At 37.0% G+C, this 18,844-nt stretch overlaps 1 protein-coding gene and 1 pseudogene across 14 annotated transcripts in view; both read left to right on the forward strand.

Moving 5' to 3' along the window:
* Positions 1 to 18,844, forward strand: part of ADK (adenosine kinase) — a 558,070-nt gene that overhangs the window by 204,639 nt on the left and 334,587 nt on the right. The window contains exon 1 of one of the 14 annotated variants that reach the window (XM_017015699.2): positions 433 to 2,731. The exons of the other annotated variants lie outside the window; for them this stretch is intronic. Coding sequence (XP_016871188.1) covers positions 2,697 to 2,731 — 35 coding nt within the window. The 5' untranslated portion in view covers positions 433 to 2,696. Of the gene's footprint in view, positions 1 to 432; positions 2,732 to 18,844 lie in introns of those variants that run through there. 14 annotated transcript variants of the gene reach the window in all.
* Positions 15,606 to 16,627, forward strand: RPSAP6 (ribosomal protein SA pseudogene 6; annotated as a pseudogene).

Raw genomic sequence — 18,844 nt, forward strand, 5'->3', positions numbered from 1 at the left:
CTTATCCATGTTATTTATATAAGCAAATGAGCATATTTGCCAATCAATCCACGGTAAGAAACACAATTTAAGTTCCTACCAAGGATACCTCTGTGTGTGTGTATGTGTGTGTATGTATCTGAAATATTTCACTAAATAATTCATTTTTTTTTTTTTTTTTTTTTTTTTTTGAGACGGAGTCTCGCTCTGTCGCCCAGGCCGGACTGCGGACTGCAGTGGCGCAATCTCGGCTCACTGCAAGCTCCCCTTCCCGGGTTCACGCCATTCTCCTGCCTCAGCCTCCCGAGTAGCTGGGACTACAGGCGCCCGCCACCGCGCCCGGCTAATTTTTTGTATTTTTAGTAGAGACGGGGTTTCACCTTGTTAGCCAGGATGGTCTCGATCTCCTGACCTCATGATCCACCCGCCTCGGCCTCCCAAAGTGCTGGGATTACAGGCGTGAGCCACCGCGCCCGGCCAATAATTCATATTGTTAATACCTCAACCATATCTTGATATTCTGTTAGCTTTTTAAATGATGGTTGTGACCAACTACAGTTCACATTTTTCACTAGTGGATCACACTCTGCAGCATTAAAATCACCGTGAAATAGATTAATTAGAATAAATGAAGTGTTCTTTTTTCATTCTGTTTGTACAGTAGATATTATTGGATTATTTTATAAAATACCCATTTTATAAATTGGATGGTATGTTATAAATGGATAGTAGGATTTTTCCTTTCTTCATTTTGTACCAAGAGAATAAAAAACACTCCTGTTCAGTACATCTCTAGCAAGCCTATTTCAACATCCAATGTCTCAAATAATTAATTTTTCTATACTTTAGTCACCCTTACACCTAAACGTTACAGTGCTTCAGTATAACTTCTATGTAAACATTATTAATCCCATTTACAGATGGGAACCAGAGTGTTGGGAGACAGGTCATGGATTTCTCATGTTCCTGCACAGTCTAAGTGTTCTAAGGAGAGGCATTTACAGTGCCAATTGTATAAGGAGAAATTTCAGGACAGTAAAACTACTGACATGTCCCTCCCTGGAGACGTCCAAGGATAATAAAAATAAAAGACCTTCTCTTCCCCTTCCCAGAGGAGATTTGCTTATATTTGAGTGTAATGAGCAATCTTTCTGGGCAGAGCAGGGTGGCAAACCAATAGAAGATCAGAGTTCCTTCATTTGGGGGTTACTCTCCTGTGATGCTCTCTACTGTATGCACTAGTAACATCCATCCCTTACTGCATTGCCTCATGGAGATTGGAGCTCAGGGAACTGGTCTAAATATATTGTTCTAGGTGCTGCTTTTGCTACGAGTAATAAATTGTCTTTGTTTCTGATCCACAGTTCTTGTGTCCTTATGTCATTGTGTGTGTGTGCATATGTGTATGCAGGAGAACGAATGCGGCAGATTGAAGAGCAGTTGAATATCAGACCTTTGTAGTGTGGTGGTGGTGATTATGGTGTTGAGACAGAATTTTGCTGTGTTACCCAGTCTGGTGTGCAGTGGCGCAAGGCTCATTTCAGCCTTCGAACTTTCAAACTCCATGGGCTCAGGTGACCCTCCCAGCTGGTACTGAAGGCACACCCCACCATACCCAGTGATTTTTTTTTTTTTTTTTTTTTTAAGAGACAGGGTTTTGTCATGTTGCCGAGGCTGGTCTCAAACTCTTGGGCTCAAGCAATCCACCCACCTCAGCCTCCCAAAGTGCTGGGGTTACGGGCATAAGCCACCATGCCTAGCCCTTTGTGATTTTTTTAACTTAACTCTGGCTCACACAATTTAACTGTAGGTCTGTTTGTAAACCTGAAGCGCTTTCTATGCTTTCTTCCTTACATAGACCGATAAAATAAGTAGAAAATATGGTGCTAATGACTAGTATTTGGTATAAGTAGATAAATGTTTTGTATCACATTTGCATGCTTATAATCTGTGATCAATGAGCAGTCTGAATATTTTTCCCTCCATCCTCATAAGTTAAACTAAAAAAAAGTTATAGATTGAGGCTGGGATATCTGGTGGCGAAATTATATTTATTTGAACAGAGTTTGTGTATATACATACATATTTCAGAATATATTGAAAAATAAAAGTGTAATGACCTTGATAAAAATGAAATATTCACTTAAAAACTCCATTTAATAATGCCCACAGGAAAGAAATGCTTCTAGAATTTTTTAACTAATCATTTTTCTCAGTACTTTTGATTGTCATGCAAACTAAAGAAATGGACTTAATGAACAATTTAGTTACAATAATAAAGTTTCAAAAATTCTAAATTTACCTCATAATTGCAACAGATGCAAAATTATTTCATATCTTTATACTCGTTATGAAATTACCTCATATCCAAAAATATTTATGTCAAGTGACAGGCTTTTTGCAGCATTTTTGATATTATTACCCTTGTAATATATAATTAACTTTGTAAGTTAACCTTGTGGAACTTTTAAGGGAAATGCATTAACTTAGCATTAATATAGACTTCTAAAATTTACTGTGATGTAGAACATTTGATTTAATGTTGTCTGTGTCTAATACAAAATAACTGTGGTCCACTTACTTATTTCAAATTTTATTCTCAAAGGTACCTACTAGATTATGTGTGAAGAAGTTTGTGACCAAAGTAATATAACTGATTCTGTTTTGAAAATCTAGAATAAAGTTTATGCAAAAGCATATGGATTATTTCTTTATGAATGCAGTTTTATACTAAAAACTCCTCCATACCCACGTAAGTAGATATATTCTCATAGTGATGTAGAAAACTGACAAAACTTTTCATCCTCAGAGCTAGGAATTCTTGTGTTTGGCCACAAGGGAAAGACAAAGGTATTAGAATTTTAAATAAGCTATCATCAACAAATACTACATCTCTCCAGCTCCATTCATAAATATAGCAACATTTTGGAAGTGCAGATGAATCGAACATAGTTAAGTGAGAAAAATTTTTAGTAACATACATAATTTGTAAATATTGAATCGTTTTTTAAATGATACTCTGAGTCATAATTATTTCAAATTGTACATAATGCTAGAAGAAACTAGGATAATAGCAGAATAAGTTACAGTGACTAAAATCATAGGTTTTTTTAAGAGATTGGGGAGTCTCTGTGGTGCCCAGTCTGGAGTGCATTGGTGCAATCATAGCTCACTGTAACCTTGACTCCTGGCTTCAAGCAATCCTCCTGTCTCTGCCTTCCTTTTGTAGTTTCAGGTCTTAACATTTAAGTCTTTCATCCATTTTGAGTTGATTTTTATACATGGTATAAGATGAGGATCTAGTTTGATTCTTCTCCATATGGATATCTTTGGTCTATATATTTATTTATATGACAGTACCATGCTGTTTTGGTTACTGTAGCTTGGTAATATAATTTGAATTTGTGTAGTGTGATGCCGCAGCTTTCTCTTTTTGCTCAGGATTATTTTAGCTATTTGGGGTCTTCTGTGGTTCCATATGAATTTTAGGATTTGTTTTTTCTATTTCTGTGAAGAATGCCTTTGGTATTTTCATAGAGATTGCATTTAATCTGTAGCTCACTTTGGTTAGTAAAGATATTTTAACAAGGCCGAGCATGGTGGCTCATGCCTGTAATCTAGCTCTTTGGGAGGCTGAAGTGGGAGGATTGCTTGAGGCCAGGGATTCAAGACCAGCCTAGGCAACATGGCGTGACCGTCCCTACAAAAAAATATTTTTTTAATTAGCTAGGCATGGTAGCATACACTTGTAGTCCTGTCTACTTGGGAGGCTGAAGCAGGAGGATCCTTTGGGCCCAGGTGGTCAAGGCTGCAGTGAGCTATAATCATGCCACTGCACTCTAGCCTGAGCAACAGAGAGAGATCTTATCTCTGTGTAAAAGAAAAAGAAGTGTAATTAAAGGAAAAAAACATTTTAACAACAGTCTTTCAATTCCAAAACATGGGATGTCTTTTTTTCCTTTTCTCTTCAGTTTCTTTCATCAGTGTTTTATAATTTTCCTTGTATAGATCTTTCATCTGCTTGGTTAAATTTATTTCCTGGTTATTTTATTTTTTTGTAGCTATTGTAAATGGTTTGCTTTCTTGATTTCTTTTTCAGGTTGGTTGCTCTTAGTGTATAGAAATTCTACTGACTTTTGTATGTCGATTTTGTATCTGACAACTTAATAAATTCACTTACCAGTTCTAATATAATATGGTCTAATTAATATATTAGACTAGAAGTATAAGATCTCTCCTGGAGAATGTTCCATGTACCGATGAGAAGAATGTGTATTCTGTGGCAGTTGGATGAAATGTTCTGTAAAGGTCTGTTAGGTTTATTTGGTCTAGAGTATAGTTTAGCTTCACTGTTTGAAGTTAAACACTGATGTTCTTACATTTCTTATAAGAACATTTTATGTTTCTTATGTATAAGAACACTGATGTTTTTATATTTCTAGTCTAATAATGTATTATTAAACTAAAAATATAAGATTTGTCCTGGAGAATGTTCCATGTCCTGATGAAAAGAATGTGTATTCTGTAGCAGTTGGATGAAATGTTCTGTAAATGTCTTAGGTTTATTTGGTCTAGAGTATAGTTTTTTACTTCAGTGTTTGTTGATTTTCTGTTGGGATGATCTGTCCATTGCCGAAAGTAGGAAATTGAAATCCCCTACTATTATTGTATTTATCTCTTGCTCTTGCTCTTATGTATTCACACTTGCTCTCTCTCATGCTCTCTCTCTCTCTCTTTCCCTTTGTATCTAATAATATTTGCTTTATATATTTGGGTACACCAATGTTGGGTGCATATATATTTACTATTGTTATATCCTTTTGCTGAATTGACCCCTTTATCATTATATTATGATCTCCTTTGTCCCTTTTTACAGTTTTTGACTTAAAGTCTATTTTGCCTAATGTAATTATAGGTATTCCTGCCCTTTTCTGGTTTTTATTTGAATAGAATATCTTTCTGCATCCCTTCACTTTCAGCATCTATGTGTCTTTATAGGTGAAATGAGTTTCTTGTAGGCAGCATGTATCTGGGTCTTGTTTTTAAAATCCATTCACCCACCCTGTGTCTTTATTTGGGTTTTATTTGAGATGGAGCCTCACTCTGTCCCCCATGCTGGAGTGCAGTGGTGTGATCTCGGCTCACTGCAACCTCCAACTCCCTGGTTCAAGCGATTCTTCTGCCTCAGCCTCCCAAGTAGCTGGGACTACAGGCGTGCACCACCATGCCTGGCTAATTTTTGTATTTTTAGTAGAGACGGTTTCACTATGTTGGCCAGGCTGGTCTCAAACTCCGGACCTCATGATCCACCCGCCTCGGCCTCCCAAAGTGTTGGGATTACAGGCGTGAGCCACTGCGCCCGGCCTATCCTGTGTCTTAATTGGAGCATTTAGTTCATTTATATTCAGTATTATTGATAGATAAGGTTTTACTACTCTTATTTTGTTACTTGTTTTCTAGTTGTTTTTAACTTTTCTTCTGCTTCTTTTCTTACTGTCTTTCTTTGTGGTTAGGTGATTTTCTCTTAAGAGTACATTTTAATTTATTGCTTTTTATCCATTTTTGCTCTGTGGTTACCAAGAGGCTTATAAATAAACATCCTGTAGTTATAGCAAGTATTTAAAACTGATAATCAACTTAACTTTGATTGGAAAAAAAACACACAAAAGTGAACATTAACTTCCTTCTCCCCCTTCATTTTGAATTTCTGATGTCACAGTTCACATTTTTATATTGCCTATCTTGTAACAAATTGTTGTAGTTATTATTTTTAATAGTTTTGTCTTTTAGTCGTCTTACTACAGATATTAGTGTTTTAAACACTGCAAATACAATATTAATATAACACTCATTTTAGTGTTTCTTCCAGTTTGAAGAAGTTTTTAAAGCATTTCTTATTGGACAAGTCTGATTATGGTAAATTCCCTCAGCTTTTGTTTGTCTAAGAAAGTCTTTATTTCTCCTTCAGTTTTGAAGGATAATTGTGCTGAGCACAGTAATCTTGGTTGACAGTTTCTTCTCCACCAGCATTCCAAATATATTCTTCCACATTTTCCTGGCTTATAAGGTTTCTGCTGATAAGTCTGCTACCAGGCATATTGGATCTTCCTTGCATGTTATTTACTTCTTTCCTTTCAGTGATTTCAGAAGTTTTTCTTTGTGCCTTTGACCTTTGTGAGTTTGATTATAATGTGTCCTAGAGTAGTCTTCTTTGTGTTTAATCTAATTAGTGATCTTTGACCTTAGTCTACCTGAATATTTATATCTTTTTTCAGGTATGGAAAGTTTTCTGTTATCATTTCCTTGTATAAGTTTTCTACCCCTTTGTCTTTCTCAGTCCTTCTTTGACTTCAGTAACCTGAATATTTGCCCTTTTGATGTTGTCCCATAGATTTTGTAAGCTTGCTTGCTTCCTTTTCTTTTTTTTTCTCTTCTCACCATATTTTTAATCATTTTTCTTTGAACTCACTGATTCTTTTATTTGGTTAATTCTGCTTCTGTTGCTCTCTATTGAGATTTTCGCTTCATTAATTTTTTTTTTTTAGTTGCAGGATTTCTGGTTTTTTAAAAAAGTTATTTGAGTCTCTTATATTTCTTTCATAATTTTCTGAATTGATTCTTCATGTTTTCTTTAAGTTCTTTGAGCTGTCTTCAAACAGGTATTTTGAATTTTTGGAGAGATCACATATCTCGGTCACTTTCAGGTTAGTCTGTGGTACCTTATTTTGTTCTTTTGGTGTGATGTATTTCCCTAAATGTTCTCAATGCTTTAGAAGTGTGATGATGTCTGAGCATTGAGGGATTTGTAATTTATTTTAGTCTTCCCAGCCTGGCTTTGTTTGTGCCTGTCCTTCTTCAAGAGGCCTTCCAGGGATTCTAAAGCTGACTTACTATTGCATTCTCTGAGCCTCTGACCAATTACAGCCATCTCAGCACTAGAGTATGCTTTAAGCCCAGGTTTTCTGAGTCCTGCAAGGGCACCAAGGTTGACACAGCTTTCTGGCCCAGATGGACCTCGGGAAGACCCAAGGGAGGTAGTTGGGCTGCCTGGGAATGCTGTCCAGACACCTGAAGCCAGAAGACTCTCCTAGTGGTCCTGATAGGTATGCCTCCCAACAAATCTCTGCACAGATGGGATAGGTCCCTGACTACAAAGAGAGTGGCTGGAGTTGAGACTGTGCGTCTTTGGAATCTACTGTGGAAAGGAGGCTGATTGGCTCACCTCATTGGCTCAGATTAGCATGCATCACCCAACAGGTCCCAGTATCTGGGCAGTTTCTTGACTGCAGCAAGAGGGCTTGGAGCCAAGACTGGGCCCCTTCAGTATCTACTATGGATATGCCTGTCACATGGATCCAGTTGGGCGTGTGTCTCCCAGCAAGTCCCTCCATAGATGGAATGATTCCCTGACTACAGCAGGAGAGGCTGGAGGTGTGACTGTGCCCCCTTGGGATTTGCTGTGGGACAGAGGATTGAGAGCCTGGTCTTGGCTCAGAGGGGTGTGCATCGCCCTGAATGTTCCTGCACATACAGGATATTTCCCCAACTGCAGTGAGACGAGCCAAAGCTGAAACTGCACCACCCTGGGATCTGCTGTTGGATGGAGGTTGATGTGCTTGTCATGTTGGCTCAGATGGGCGTATGTCTCCCAGCAGGTCTCTGCATAGACAGGAGGGTTCCCTAACAGCAGGAGGAGGGTCTGGATCTGAGACTGGACCCTCTCAGGATCTGCTGTGGGATGGTGGCTGGAGAACCTGGTCTGAGCATGCATCTCACCAGTAGACCCTGTAGACAAGATAGTTTCCTGGTTGCAGCAGGAAAGGCTGGAGCTGAGACTGGGCTCCCTCAGGATCTCCTGTGTTGCAGAATCTGGAGAGCCTGTCTTGTTTGCCCGGACAGATACCCCTCTTCCAGCAGATCTCTGCACAGAATTATTTTCAGACCACAGCAAGAAGGGTCAGAGCTGAGAATGGACCACCTGAGGATCTGCTGTGGGATGGAGGTTGGCGTGCCTGTCTCATTAGCTCAAATGGGCACCCATCTCCCAGCAGGTTCCTGTTTCTGCACAGATAGGATGCATCCCCTACTGCAGCAGGAGGAGCTGAGGCTGAGTCTGGGGCCTCCCTTGGGATCTGTGGCATGGAGTCTGGAGCCCCTTGTCTCATTGACTCAGAGACACACCCACAGGAGATAACTTTTCAACTTCTAGTAAGCAATCATTTGAATCATTAAGTATTTTTGGTGTATTATACATAACCACACTTAATTACAATTCATACCTGTACCTTCTTATTGCTACCCATATTTGAGGAATAGGTCTTTCCCTTCTTTCCTTCTATATTTAAAACCTTTTATCTATATTTTCTTCTCATGCCTTGAGTCTAATCTCAAACCTTGTTCTCTTCTTGATCTTTGCTAACTTTGTTGTAAATGTGCTCCTATCCCACTATTGAAACAAACAGGCAAACTCTCCAACATTCGCCTTATCTATCCTCATTTCAGCTGAATTTCTTGACAGTGTAGTTCACACTTCTTTATCTCTGATGCATTCAGCTGCTCTCACCACGTTTTTAAAATCCAGTGGGCACGAGTCACCCATGACCTTTTAGTTGCCAAATCCAGTGAACACTTTTCAGTTCTTGTCTGACTTATCTCTGGCATTTATCAGTGTTGACCTTACCATAACTCTGAAACTTTTCCTGTCTTGCTTAGCTTATGTGATACCTTTTCCCTCAGGTTTTTCTTCTTTTCTGGCTCCTCTTCTTCCTTTTCCACAGCTGGCAATTCCTACTCTTACAGCTCTTCTAATGTTTTCCTTTCCTTTCCTTTATCTTTAGGCAAAGGCTATGGTGTGTGTGTGTGTGTGTGTGTGTGTGTGTGTGTGTGTGTGTGTGTGTGTGTGTTCTAGCAACCTCTTTCAAATGAATTCCAATGGATTCTAACACTAAGCTGGAGTGTCAGGTACTACTTGTGATTTCTTCTCTTTTATCTTCCTGGGAGTTTTACAGAATCTACAGTAGTGATCACTACTTCCCACAGTCTTTTCCTGACACTTTCTTTCTCCCTTTCTCCAGTTTATTCACTTCTCTTTTAGATTACAGGACAATTTTCCTCTGTTCTCCGTACATCCAGCCTGGCTGTCCTCCAGTCTGTGTTCCATAGAGCTACTGAAAACCCTACTAAGAAACAAATTTTGTAATACCATTTCCTTACAATGCTTCAGTAATTAATGTTAACATTTAGGTTAAAAACAGCCTTATCATTAAGAAAACTTTTAAACTGATTTAAAATTTATATAATGTGAAATCATTTTAAAGTATACAATTCAGTGGCATTTACTGCATTCACAATGCTGCACAACCACAACCATAATTTCTAAATAATTCTAAGTTTTCATCACCCCAAAGGGAAACTCCATACCCATCAAGCAGTCATTTGTCATTCTCCCCTCCAGCTAGCCCCGTTCATCCATTAATCAGCTTTCTGTGTCCGTGGGTTTACCTATTCTGGAGGTTTCATATACATGAAATCATCACTATATGTGACCTTTTCTGTCTGGTCTTTTACTTAGAATAATGTCGTGGAGGTGCATCCCATTTTGTTGCATATATTAGCACTTCATTTTTTTGATTGAATAATGTTCCATTGTATAGCTATACCACATTTGTTATTCATTCATCAATTGATGGACATTCGAGTTGTTTCTGCCTTTTGAATGCCTGATTTTGATTCATTTTTGTAGAGTCCTTAGGTTTTCCTAAGTATAAGATCATTTCGTCTGGGAACAAGGCTAATTTAATTTCCTCTTTTTCAATTTGGATGCCCTTTATTTCTTTGTCTTACCTAAATGCTTTGGCTGATTCATTTTGGGCAAATACCTGGGAAGAGTGTTTAATTGCTGGGTCATATGGTAATTCTATATTTAACTTTTTAAGGAAATGCCAAACTGTCTACTACAACATCTACAATAAGATAAATTTTCACCAGCAACTTATGAGGGTTCCAGTTTGTGTACATCCTCACTAACTCTTGTTATTTTATTTTCCAGTTTTAAATACTATTAATATCTAACTCAGTGGGTATAAAGTTATATCTCATTGTATTTATGATTTGCCTTTTCCTAATGACTAATGATATTGTAAATGTTTTCATGTGCCTGTTGCCCATGCATACATCTTTTTGGGAGAAATGTATATTCAACTTACTTTCCCGTTTTTTATTTGAGTTTTATTTTTAACCAAGAAATACCTTTTAAGTGATCAGACCTGGAACCTTGCCAGGTTTAATGATTATCAAAGCAGAGCCATATTTTGACTTTTGATGTTATCTATTATTATAGTCTTGTTATTCATAATTACTTGAATATTATCAGCATCTCTAGATCCTTTGTAGTTAAAACATAGTAAAGTATTTTAAGTCTTTATACTAAAATAGTACGTCTTGAAAGTTTTAATATAGAACACTCTGCTTAGCATTTCTTTATAACCTAAAATGCAATTAATAAAAGGGTGTCATTTCCTCTGCCAATTAAGTAGCCTTCATTGGTTGATATTGAACAAATTGCTGATACTTATTTCTGTGATGTTTACTTTTTAAAAAAAATATTTTTTGCTTTCTTTTTAACACTTCCAAACAATTGCTAGGTTAATTTGTCAGTTGCAAATCTGAAATAAAATTGTTTTTAGCAGTCTTTCAAATAAAATTTTCGTTGAGACTAAAGAGATCCTGGATTACAATCAACATTTGTAGATATGTCATACATAGAGAACCAAAAAAAAATTATAAATCTGATATAAATATCAGTGTGCCATACAGGCATGGTGGCTCATGCCTGTAATCTCAGCATTTTGGGAGGCTGAGGCAGGTGGATCACTTGAGTCTAGGAGTTCGAGATTAGCCTGGGCAACATGGTGAAACCCCATCTCTATAAAAAATACAAAAATTAGCCAAGCATGGTGGTACACACCTGTAGTCCCAGCTGTTTGGGAGGCTGAGGTGGGCGGATTGTTTGAGCTTGGTAGGCAGAGGTTACAGTGAGCCAAGATTGTGCCTCTGCACTCCAGCCTAGGTAACAGAGCGAGACCCTGTCTCAGAAAGCAAAACAAAAACGCCCAAATATCAATGTGCTATGAAACCACACATTGTATGTGTTCATTCCCACAAATTGGAGCATTTTAAGAAGCGCTCTAAATTAGTTTATGTCTTGCTTTTCTTCTTATGTTCTGTAGATTCTTTAGTACTCCATAAGAAAAATTTGCTATAGAAAGCATAAAAACTGCAAATGCATTATATCCTCCATGAAACCAGCTTTAATTTAGTTGCTAAACCCTGATCATTGTTGCACTATACACTCAGAAAATGTATAGCAGTGACTATTTTGTAAATATGAAGAGTTCATATTCAGCACATTCAGCAATGGTTTATATCTAAAATGATTTTTGAAGAATGCTTTAAAAAACTTCTTTGCCTAGAGTCTTTAAAGCTGGCACTTTAAAACTATGTTTCATGGATTGTCAGTTGGAATGGACTTCAGGAGGTCCATAAGTCCATGAAATTACAGTTTTTTAACATGAATTTTTCTGAGGATACATGATTTTTATCATACTCTCAAAAGAATCTAAAACTCAAAAATGGTTAAGAGACACTTAAATAAAATGTTGATAAAGGCCATGGTCATTGATTCTCATTCTTCAGAAGCTTTGCATGTGTGAGTTTACCTACTCACTAAAATGTACTTGTAAATCCAAAACCAGTACTCGGTGCTTTTGCAGTCATTTGTAAACATATTTGGAGAAGCAAAAATTTTGAGTTACCTTATGTGTTCATTCCTCTCTGAGGTCAAAGAAGGTGATGGTTTGCCTTGTTTCAGCTGTCATACTGTAAACAAGTGTCCTTTTCAATGCGTATTTAGTGCCATATTAATCACATTTTTTGTTGTTGATTTTTCTGTTTAAAATGGTTCCCAAGCATAGTGCAGATATGCTGTCTAGTGTTTCTAAGCATAAGAAGGCTGTGATACACCTGAGAGAATAAAAATCTGTAATAGACAAACTTGGTTCAGGCATGAGTTACACTGCTGTTGACTGTGAGTTTATTGTTAATAAATCAAATATGAAGTATCAATATCTGTATAAATAGTTAAATATAATTATATATAGATGTAAATATAAATTGTTAAAATACGGAATCTTTAAACAGAAACATACATTTTAGAAATTATGTATTGGCATTGGTTGACCAAGATGATGTTTGGAGAGGTTTTCAGGAAACTAACCCTGTCTTTTTCCCAGGAACAATAATTCTGCAGGAGGCAGAACCTGTTGTCTAGGTTGGAGTACAGTGGCATGAACATGGCTCACTGCAGTTTTGACCTCCTGTGCTTCTTCTGCCCCAGCTTCCCAAGTAGTTCAGGCTACAGGCACATGTCACCATGCCTGGTAATTTTTGTATTTTTTGTAGAGACAGGGTTTTTCTTGCCCAGACTGGTCTTGAATTTCTGGGCTCAAACAATCCTCCCATCTTGGCCCCACAAAGTACTGAGATTAGAGATGTGAGCCTCCATGCCCAGCTATAGTTAACCTTTTGCAGTGTTTTTTTTTTTAACTTAATGTTTCTAAATTTCTTCTAGGGTAAACATTTACTACGTAGAGGCTGTGTGTCATTTACCTCTTCATGGTATCACACATCAGATACTTCTAACATAATCATGATAAATGTTAGTGGTTTCATGGTCTTATTTACACTCCAGCTCTACCAGAATTCACTAATCTACTTCAAGTTTCTGTCTGAAATATTCTTTTTTTTTTTTTGATACAGAGTCTCACTTTGTTGCCCAGGCTGGAGTGCCGTGGCCCCATTTCAGATCACTGCAAACTCTGCCTCCTGTGTTCAAGTGATTCTCCTGCCTCAGCTTCCCAAGTAGCTGGGACTTACAGGCACACGCCACCACACCCAACTAATTATATTTTTAGTAAACATGGAGTTTCACCATGTTGGCCAGGCTGGTCTCAAACTCCTGACCTCAAGTGATCTGCCTGCCTTAGCCTCCCAAAGTGCTAGGATTAACAGACACGAGCCACCGCATCCTGCCTCTGTCTGAAATATTCTTATTGTTCATCATACAGTATATTGGGCTACAGTACTGTATTTTTCTCCAGGGTGTTGGTAACCATTTATGCTGAGTTTAGCCATTTTACTTAAGAGTCTACTAATTCACTGTAGATAAAGAGTTACTACTTTGGCATGGTGGAGCATGCCTGTAATCCCAGCTCTTTGTGGGAGGCCAAGGCAGGTGGATCGCTCGAGTCTAGGAGCTCAAGACCAGCCAAGACAACATGGCAAATTTTATTTCTACAAAAATTACAAATATTAGCCAGGTGTGGTGGTGCATGCCTGTAGTCCCAGCTACTGAGGAAGCTGAGGTGGGAGGATTATTTGAGACCGGGAGGTAGAGGCTGCAATGAGCCATGATTGTGCCGCTGTGCTCCAGCCTCAGAGACAGAGCAGTACCACAAAAAGAGTTAGAAGAGTTCTTTATCTAACAAATATGAGTTGTATATTTGCATAGTTGATTGCATTCATGAAGTCTAAGTATTTTTTTATTCATTAAATCTAAAGGAAGTTGGGGCTCTCTGCTTTCGATAAGATGAAGTAACAAGTACTGTACTTATCCTTCACCTAAAATAATGATTAAAGAAAATTTGTGTGTTTATTTCTTAAGACACAGAACAAGCATTTGATAAAATCCAACATCCATTCCTCATAAAATCACTCCTGAAACTGGTGATAGAGAGGAACTTCCTCAACCTGATAATTAGCATCTATAAGGAACCAATGGTAATATTATATTTACTGGTGAATGTCTGAATGCTTTCTCACTAAGATCAGGAATAAGACAAGGATGTCTACTTTCACTACTTCTGTTCGATACTGTACTGCAGGTTCTAGCCAGTGCAATTAGTTAAGAAAAAGAAGTGCTTCTAGATTAAAAAACAGAAGTAAATCAATCATTATACTTCAGTGATATGATCATCTATGTATATTATTCTATAGAATCTACAAAAAGGTACTAGAATGAATAATTGAGTTTAGCATGCTTGCAGAATATAAGATCAGTATTTAAAACTCATGTAGTTTTCTGTACTAGGAACAAAAATTTGAAATTAAAATTTAATAGAAGAAATATTTTCTATCACATAAATAATAGGCTATACTTGGGGACAAATCTGACAAAAGATCTGGAAGACCTTTACTCTGAAAACTGTAAAAACATTACTGAATGAAAATAAGTGTGCAGATTCTTTACATATGATACTAATAGAATGATCTGTTTAAAATTGATTAATTGTGCATCAGCTATATACATAAGCCAAAACTTAAACAATTGTACACCTTAAATATGTACAGTTAATTTTGTTAATTCAAATCCCTATACTACTGTTAAAACAAATTAGAAAAACAAACTAAAGGAATTTATGTTCATATGACAGTGAATGAGTTGTCTGAACTCACCTCAATTTTTAATCCTAAGATGAATCCATCTCTAAAAAGTACTGAACATCTCTGAAAAGTTATGAATATGGTGTATGTTTTCTCCCATAACCTCATATATAGCAATTATTGTTATTAGGAAATCAGAACTAGCTTAAATAATCATAACATTGACCATCTGCTTTCCTTGTTAAATACATTTGACTACTAACTTAATGTTTTCAGTTAGCCCTCTAAAATTTGAGAAAGCAACATCTTTTTTACCTTTTTGCCAGATTTCTACAGGCTTTCTGATATATAGTTGGCCCTCTAGATCATTGCTGGCAGTTTGAAATATGTGTGATTATGATAGAGTATTTAAAATATTTTATTATAAATATTTGATCAATTTTTTATTATATAAATTTTCTTCTTTTAAAAAAATACAATTTAGAGATGGGGATCATACTATGTTGCCCAGGTCTTGAACTCCTGGGCTCAAGTGATCCTTCTGCCTTGGCCTCCAAAAGTGCTGGGATTATAGATGTGAGCCACTGCACCCAGGCTAGGGTAAACTTTTGATAAATATTTTTGATTATGTAGAATAATTTTATGGTGAGTTCAAAGTAGGGTTTTGCAATTTTTATTGTGGAGATGTATTTATACTGTTAGTTTCAGGATATCTGTACTGATCATCTCCTGTGTTTTTAATCATGATGTTTCCTTTTCAAACAACACATTATGATGAAAGATCAATTTTCAATGAAATCATTTATAAGTATATACTAGCTATTGCAACTTTGGGGTTTGGAAAGGAAAAATTAAAGTGTGTTATGTTTACATGTTGGAAACATGTTAGAAAAATCAGTCTAGGATTGGAAGGAGATGGGAAGATTTAGGAGTAACTGCTAATGGGTACAAGGTTTCTTCTTAGGGTGAGAAAATGTTCTACAATGATTTGTGGTAATGGTTACAGAAGTATGATTATACCTAAAATCATTGAATCATATGCTTTAACTGGATAAATAAAAGGCATTTATATTGGAAAGGAAATAGTAAAACTGTATCTGTTTGTAGATAACATGATCTTATATACCAAACAAAAATCTTAAGCAGTCCCCTACAGATCTATTAGAAGTAATAAATGGCTTTTCACACTACCCACATAGACGTCCATACGGCGTTCTTTCTGGATTCCCATCGTAGCTTAAAGCGAAACTTTTCACCATGTCTGGAGCCCTTGATGTCCTGCAAATGAAGGAGGAGGATGTCCTTAAGTTCCTTGCAGCAGGAACCTGCTTAGGTGGTACCAATCTTGACTTCCAGATGGAACAGTACATCTCTATAAGGAAAAGTGATGGCATCCACATCGTAAATCTGAAGAGGACCTGGGAGAAGCTTCTGCTGGCAGCTTGTGCCATTGTTGCCATTGAAAACCCTGCTGATGTCAGTGTTATATCCTCCAGGAATATTGGCCAAAGGGCTGTGCTGAAGTTTGCTGCTGCCACTGGAGCCACTCCAATTGTTGGCCACTTCACTCCTGGAACCTTCACTAACCACATCCAGGCAGCCTTCCAAGAGCCACGGCTTCTTGTGGTTACTGACCCCAGGGCTGACCACCAGCCTCTCACAGAGGCATCTTACGTTAACCTATCTACCGTTGCTTTGTGTAACACAGATTCTCCTCTGCACTTTGTGGACATTGCCATTCTATGCAACAATAAGGGAGCTCACTCAATGGGTTTGATGTGGTGGATGCCAGCCCGGGAAGGTTTGCGCGCGTGTGGCACCATTTCCCATGAACACCCATGGGAATTCATGCCTGATCTCTACAGAGATCCTAAAGAGACTGAAAAAGCAGAGCAGCCTGCTGCTGAAAAGGCTGTGACCAAGGAGGAATTTCAGGGTGAATGGACTGCTCCAGCTCCTGAGTTAACTGCTACTCAGCCTGAGGTTGCAGACTGGTCTGAAGGTGTGCAGGTGCCCTCTGCGCCTATTCATCAGTTCCCTACTGAAGACTGGAGTGCTGAGCCTGCCACGGAAGGCTGGTCCACAGCTCCCAATGCTCAGGCCATTGAATGGGTAGGAGCAAACACTGAAAGGTCTTAAGCTGTTATTGCACACGCTCTTAAGCAACATGGAAATAAGGTTGACGGAAAATAAATGTCAGTTTAAAAAAAAAAAAGTAATGCATTCAGCAAGGTTGACAGATAAAATATCAAGATAGAAAAATATATTGGATTTTTGAGCAATATTAATGGGCAAATTGAAAATGAAGTTATGAAACAATTTCATTTAAATATCTTAAAAAGAAATAATGTACTTAAGTATAAATATAACAACAGAAGTGTGGAACTTATACTCTAAAAACTACATAACATTGAAAGACATTAAAGGAAACTAAATGGAAAGACATTAAATGTTGATATTTTGAAAAGATTTAATATTTTTAGGATGGCAGTTCTCCCCCAAATTGATCTAAAATAAATTTCCTACTAAAATCACAGCTAAATTCTTTGCACAATTTGACAAGCTGCTCTTAAAATTAATATGGAAATTCAAGGGACCCAGTATAGCCAAAACAATCTTGAAAAAGACCAAAATTGTGTTTCTCACTTCCCAATTAAAAAACGTATGATGAAGCCATACCAATATGTAGTTCTGGCATAATGATAGACATATCTATTAATGGTATAGAATTGAGAACAGAAATAAGTCTTCACATTTATGGTAACCTGTCTTTCTATAAGTGTGCCATGGCATAAAGAATAGTCTTTTCAATGAAGGGTACTAGAACACCTGCCCATCCATATGGGAAAAAAAAAAAGCTGGACCCCTATCTCATATGCAAAAATTAACTCAAAATGAATTAAAGACTTAAATGTAAGAACTAAAACTGCAACCGTTAGAAGACATAGGGATACATGTTTATGACTGGGCATGGGATATGAGCTGGCAAATGATTCTTAGATAGGTCACCAAAAGCATGAGCAATAAGAGAAAAGAATAAATAAATTAGATTTCATCAAGTTTTGAAAGTTTTGTGCTTTAAAGGACACCATCAAGAAAGTGAAAAGACAACCCACAGAATGGGAGAAAATTGCACTCACATATCTATTTTATCTTGAATATATAAAGAATTATTTAGACTCAATAATGATGAAAAGACAAATAACTCACTTTAAAAAATGGGCAGAATATCTGAGTAGGCAGTTTCCCAAAAGAAGATATACAAATGACTAAGGAGCACATAAAAAGATGCTCAACATAATTAGCTATCAGGTATATTAAAGTCAAAACTACAATGAGATACCATTTCACTCCTGCTAGGATGATGGGTATAATCAGAAGGACAGAGTTTTGGCAAGGATTTGGAGAACCCTAAGGCATTGCTGGTGGGAATGTTAAATAGTGCAGCCTTTTTGGAAAAGAGTCTTGCAATTCCTTAAATATTTTAACATAGAGTTACCATATCCAGCAATTCTGCTCCTAGGTATATACACAAGACAAATGAAAATGTTTGCACAAATGTTTATAGCAGCATTATGTATAATAGCCTAAACATGGAAACAACCCAAGTGTGTTACTGATAAATGAATAAACAAAATTTGGAATATCCATGCAATAGAATATTATTTGACAAAAAAGAAATGAAGTACTGATACATGCTACAACATGGGCAAATTTTGAAAATATCGTGCTAAATGAAGGAAGCCAGTCATAAAAGTACACATGTTTTATGATTCCATGTCTGAGAAGTGGCCTGAACATGCATATTTTTAGAGACAGAAAATAAATTAGTGTTTGCCTGGGACTTGTGAAGATGAGGTTTTCGGAAGTGATGACTCAAGAGTGAACTGGTTTTTTTGGGGGGTGTTGAAAAATGTTCTAAAATTGATGTGGTGATGCCTATACAACTCCAAATATACTAAACACCATTGAACTGTACACTTCAAAGGGATGAATTGCATAGTATGTGAATTATATCTTAAGGAGCTGATAAAGAATATATATTTATTGGTCTGTTTTACCCTTTGAATGGATTTTACCCATATGTGATGTTTTTACCATGATACATTAATCATTTGCCAGAGTTTTTGTTCCTTAAATTATGCATATCTTACAAATGTAAAATGTCTTATTTGTCAATATCACTACTAAACAAGAAAATAGTCTTTAAGCATTGGGAACCTCACTGGTGGATATGAGTTTTACACGATCATAATTTTCAGAGACCCAGGGAGAATTATCTCCCATTTTTTGATTAGTTTTCTGTACACTGTTGCCTAATTATCTTTCTGAAATACAGATTGATCAGGTAACTCTCTGATCCCAGCCTGCTTGTCATTGTCATGCATGGTTAGTCCTTCATAAAATATGCTATTATGGACCCCAT

This window comes from Homo sapiens, chromosome 10 (genome assembly GCF_000001405.40).
Source record: "Homo sapiens chromosome 10, GRCh38.p14 Primary Assembly".
In the NCBI taxonomy this organism is placed as follows: domain Eukaryota; kingdom Metazoa; phylum Chordata; class Mammalia; order Primates; family Hominidae; genus Homo; species Homo sapiens.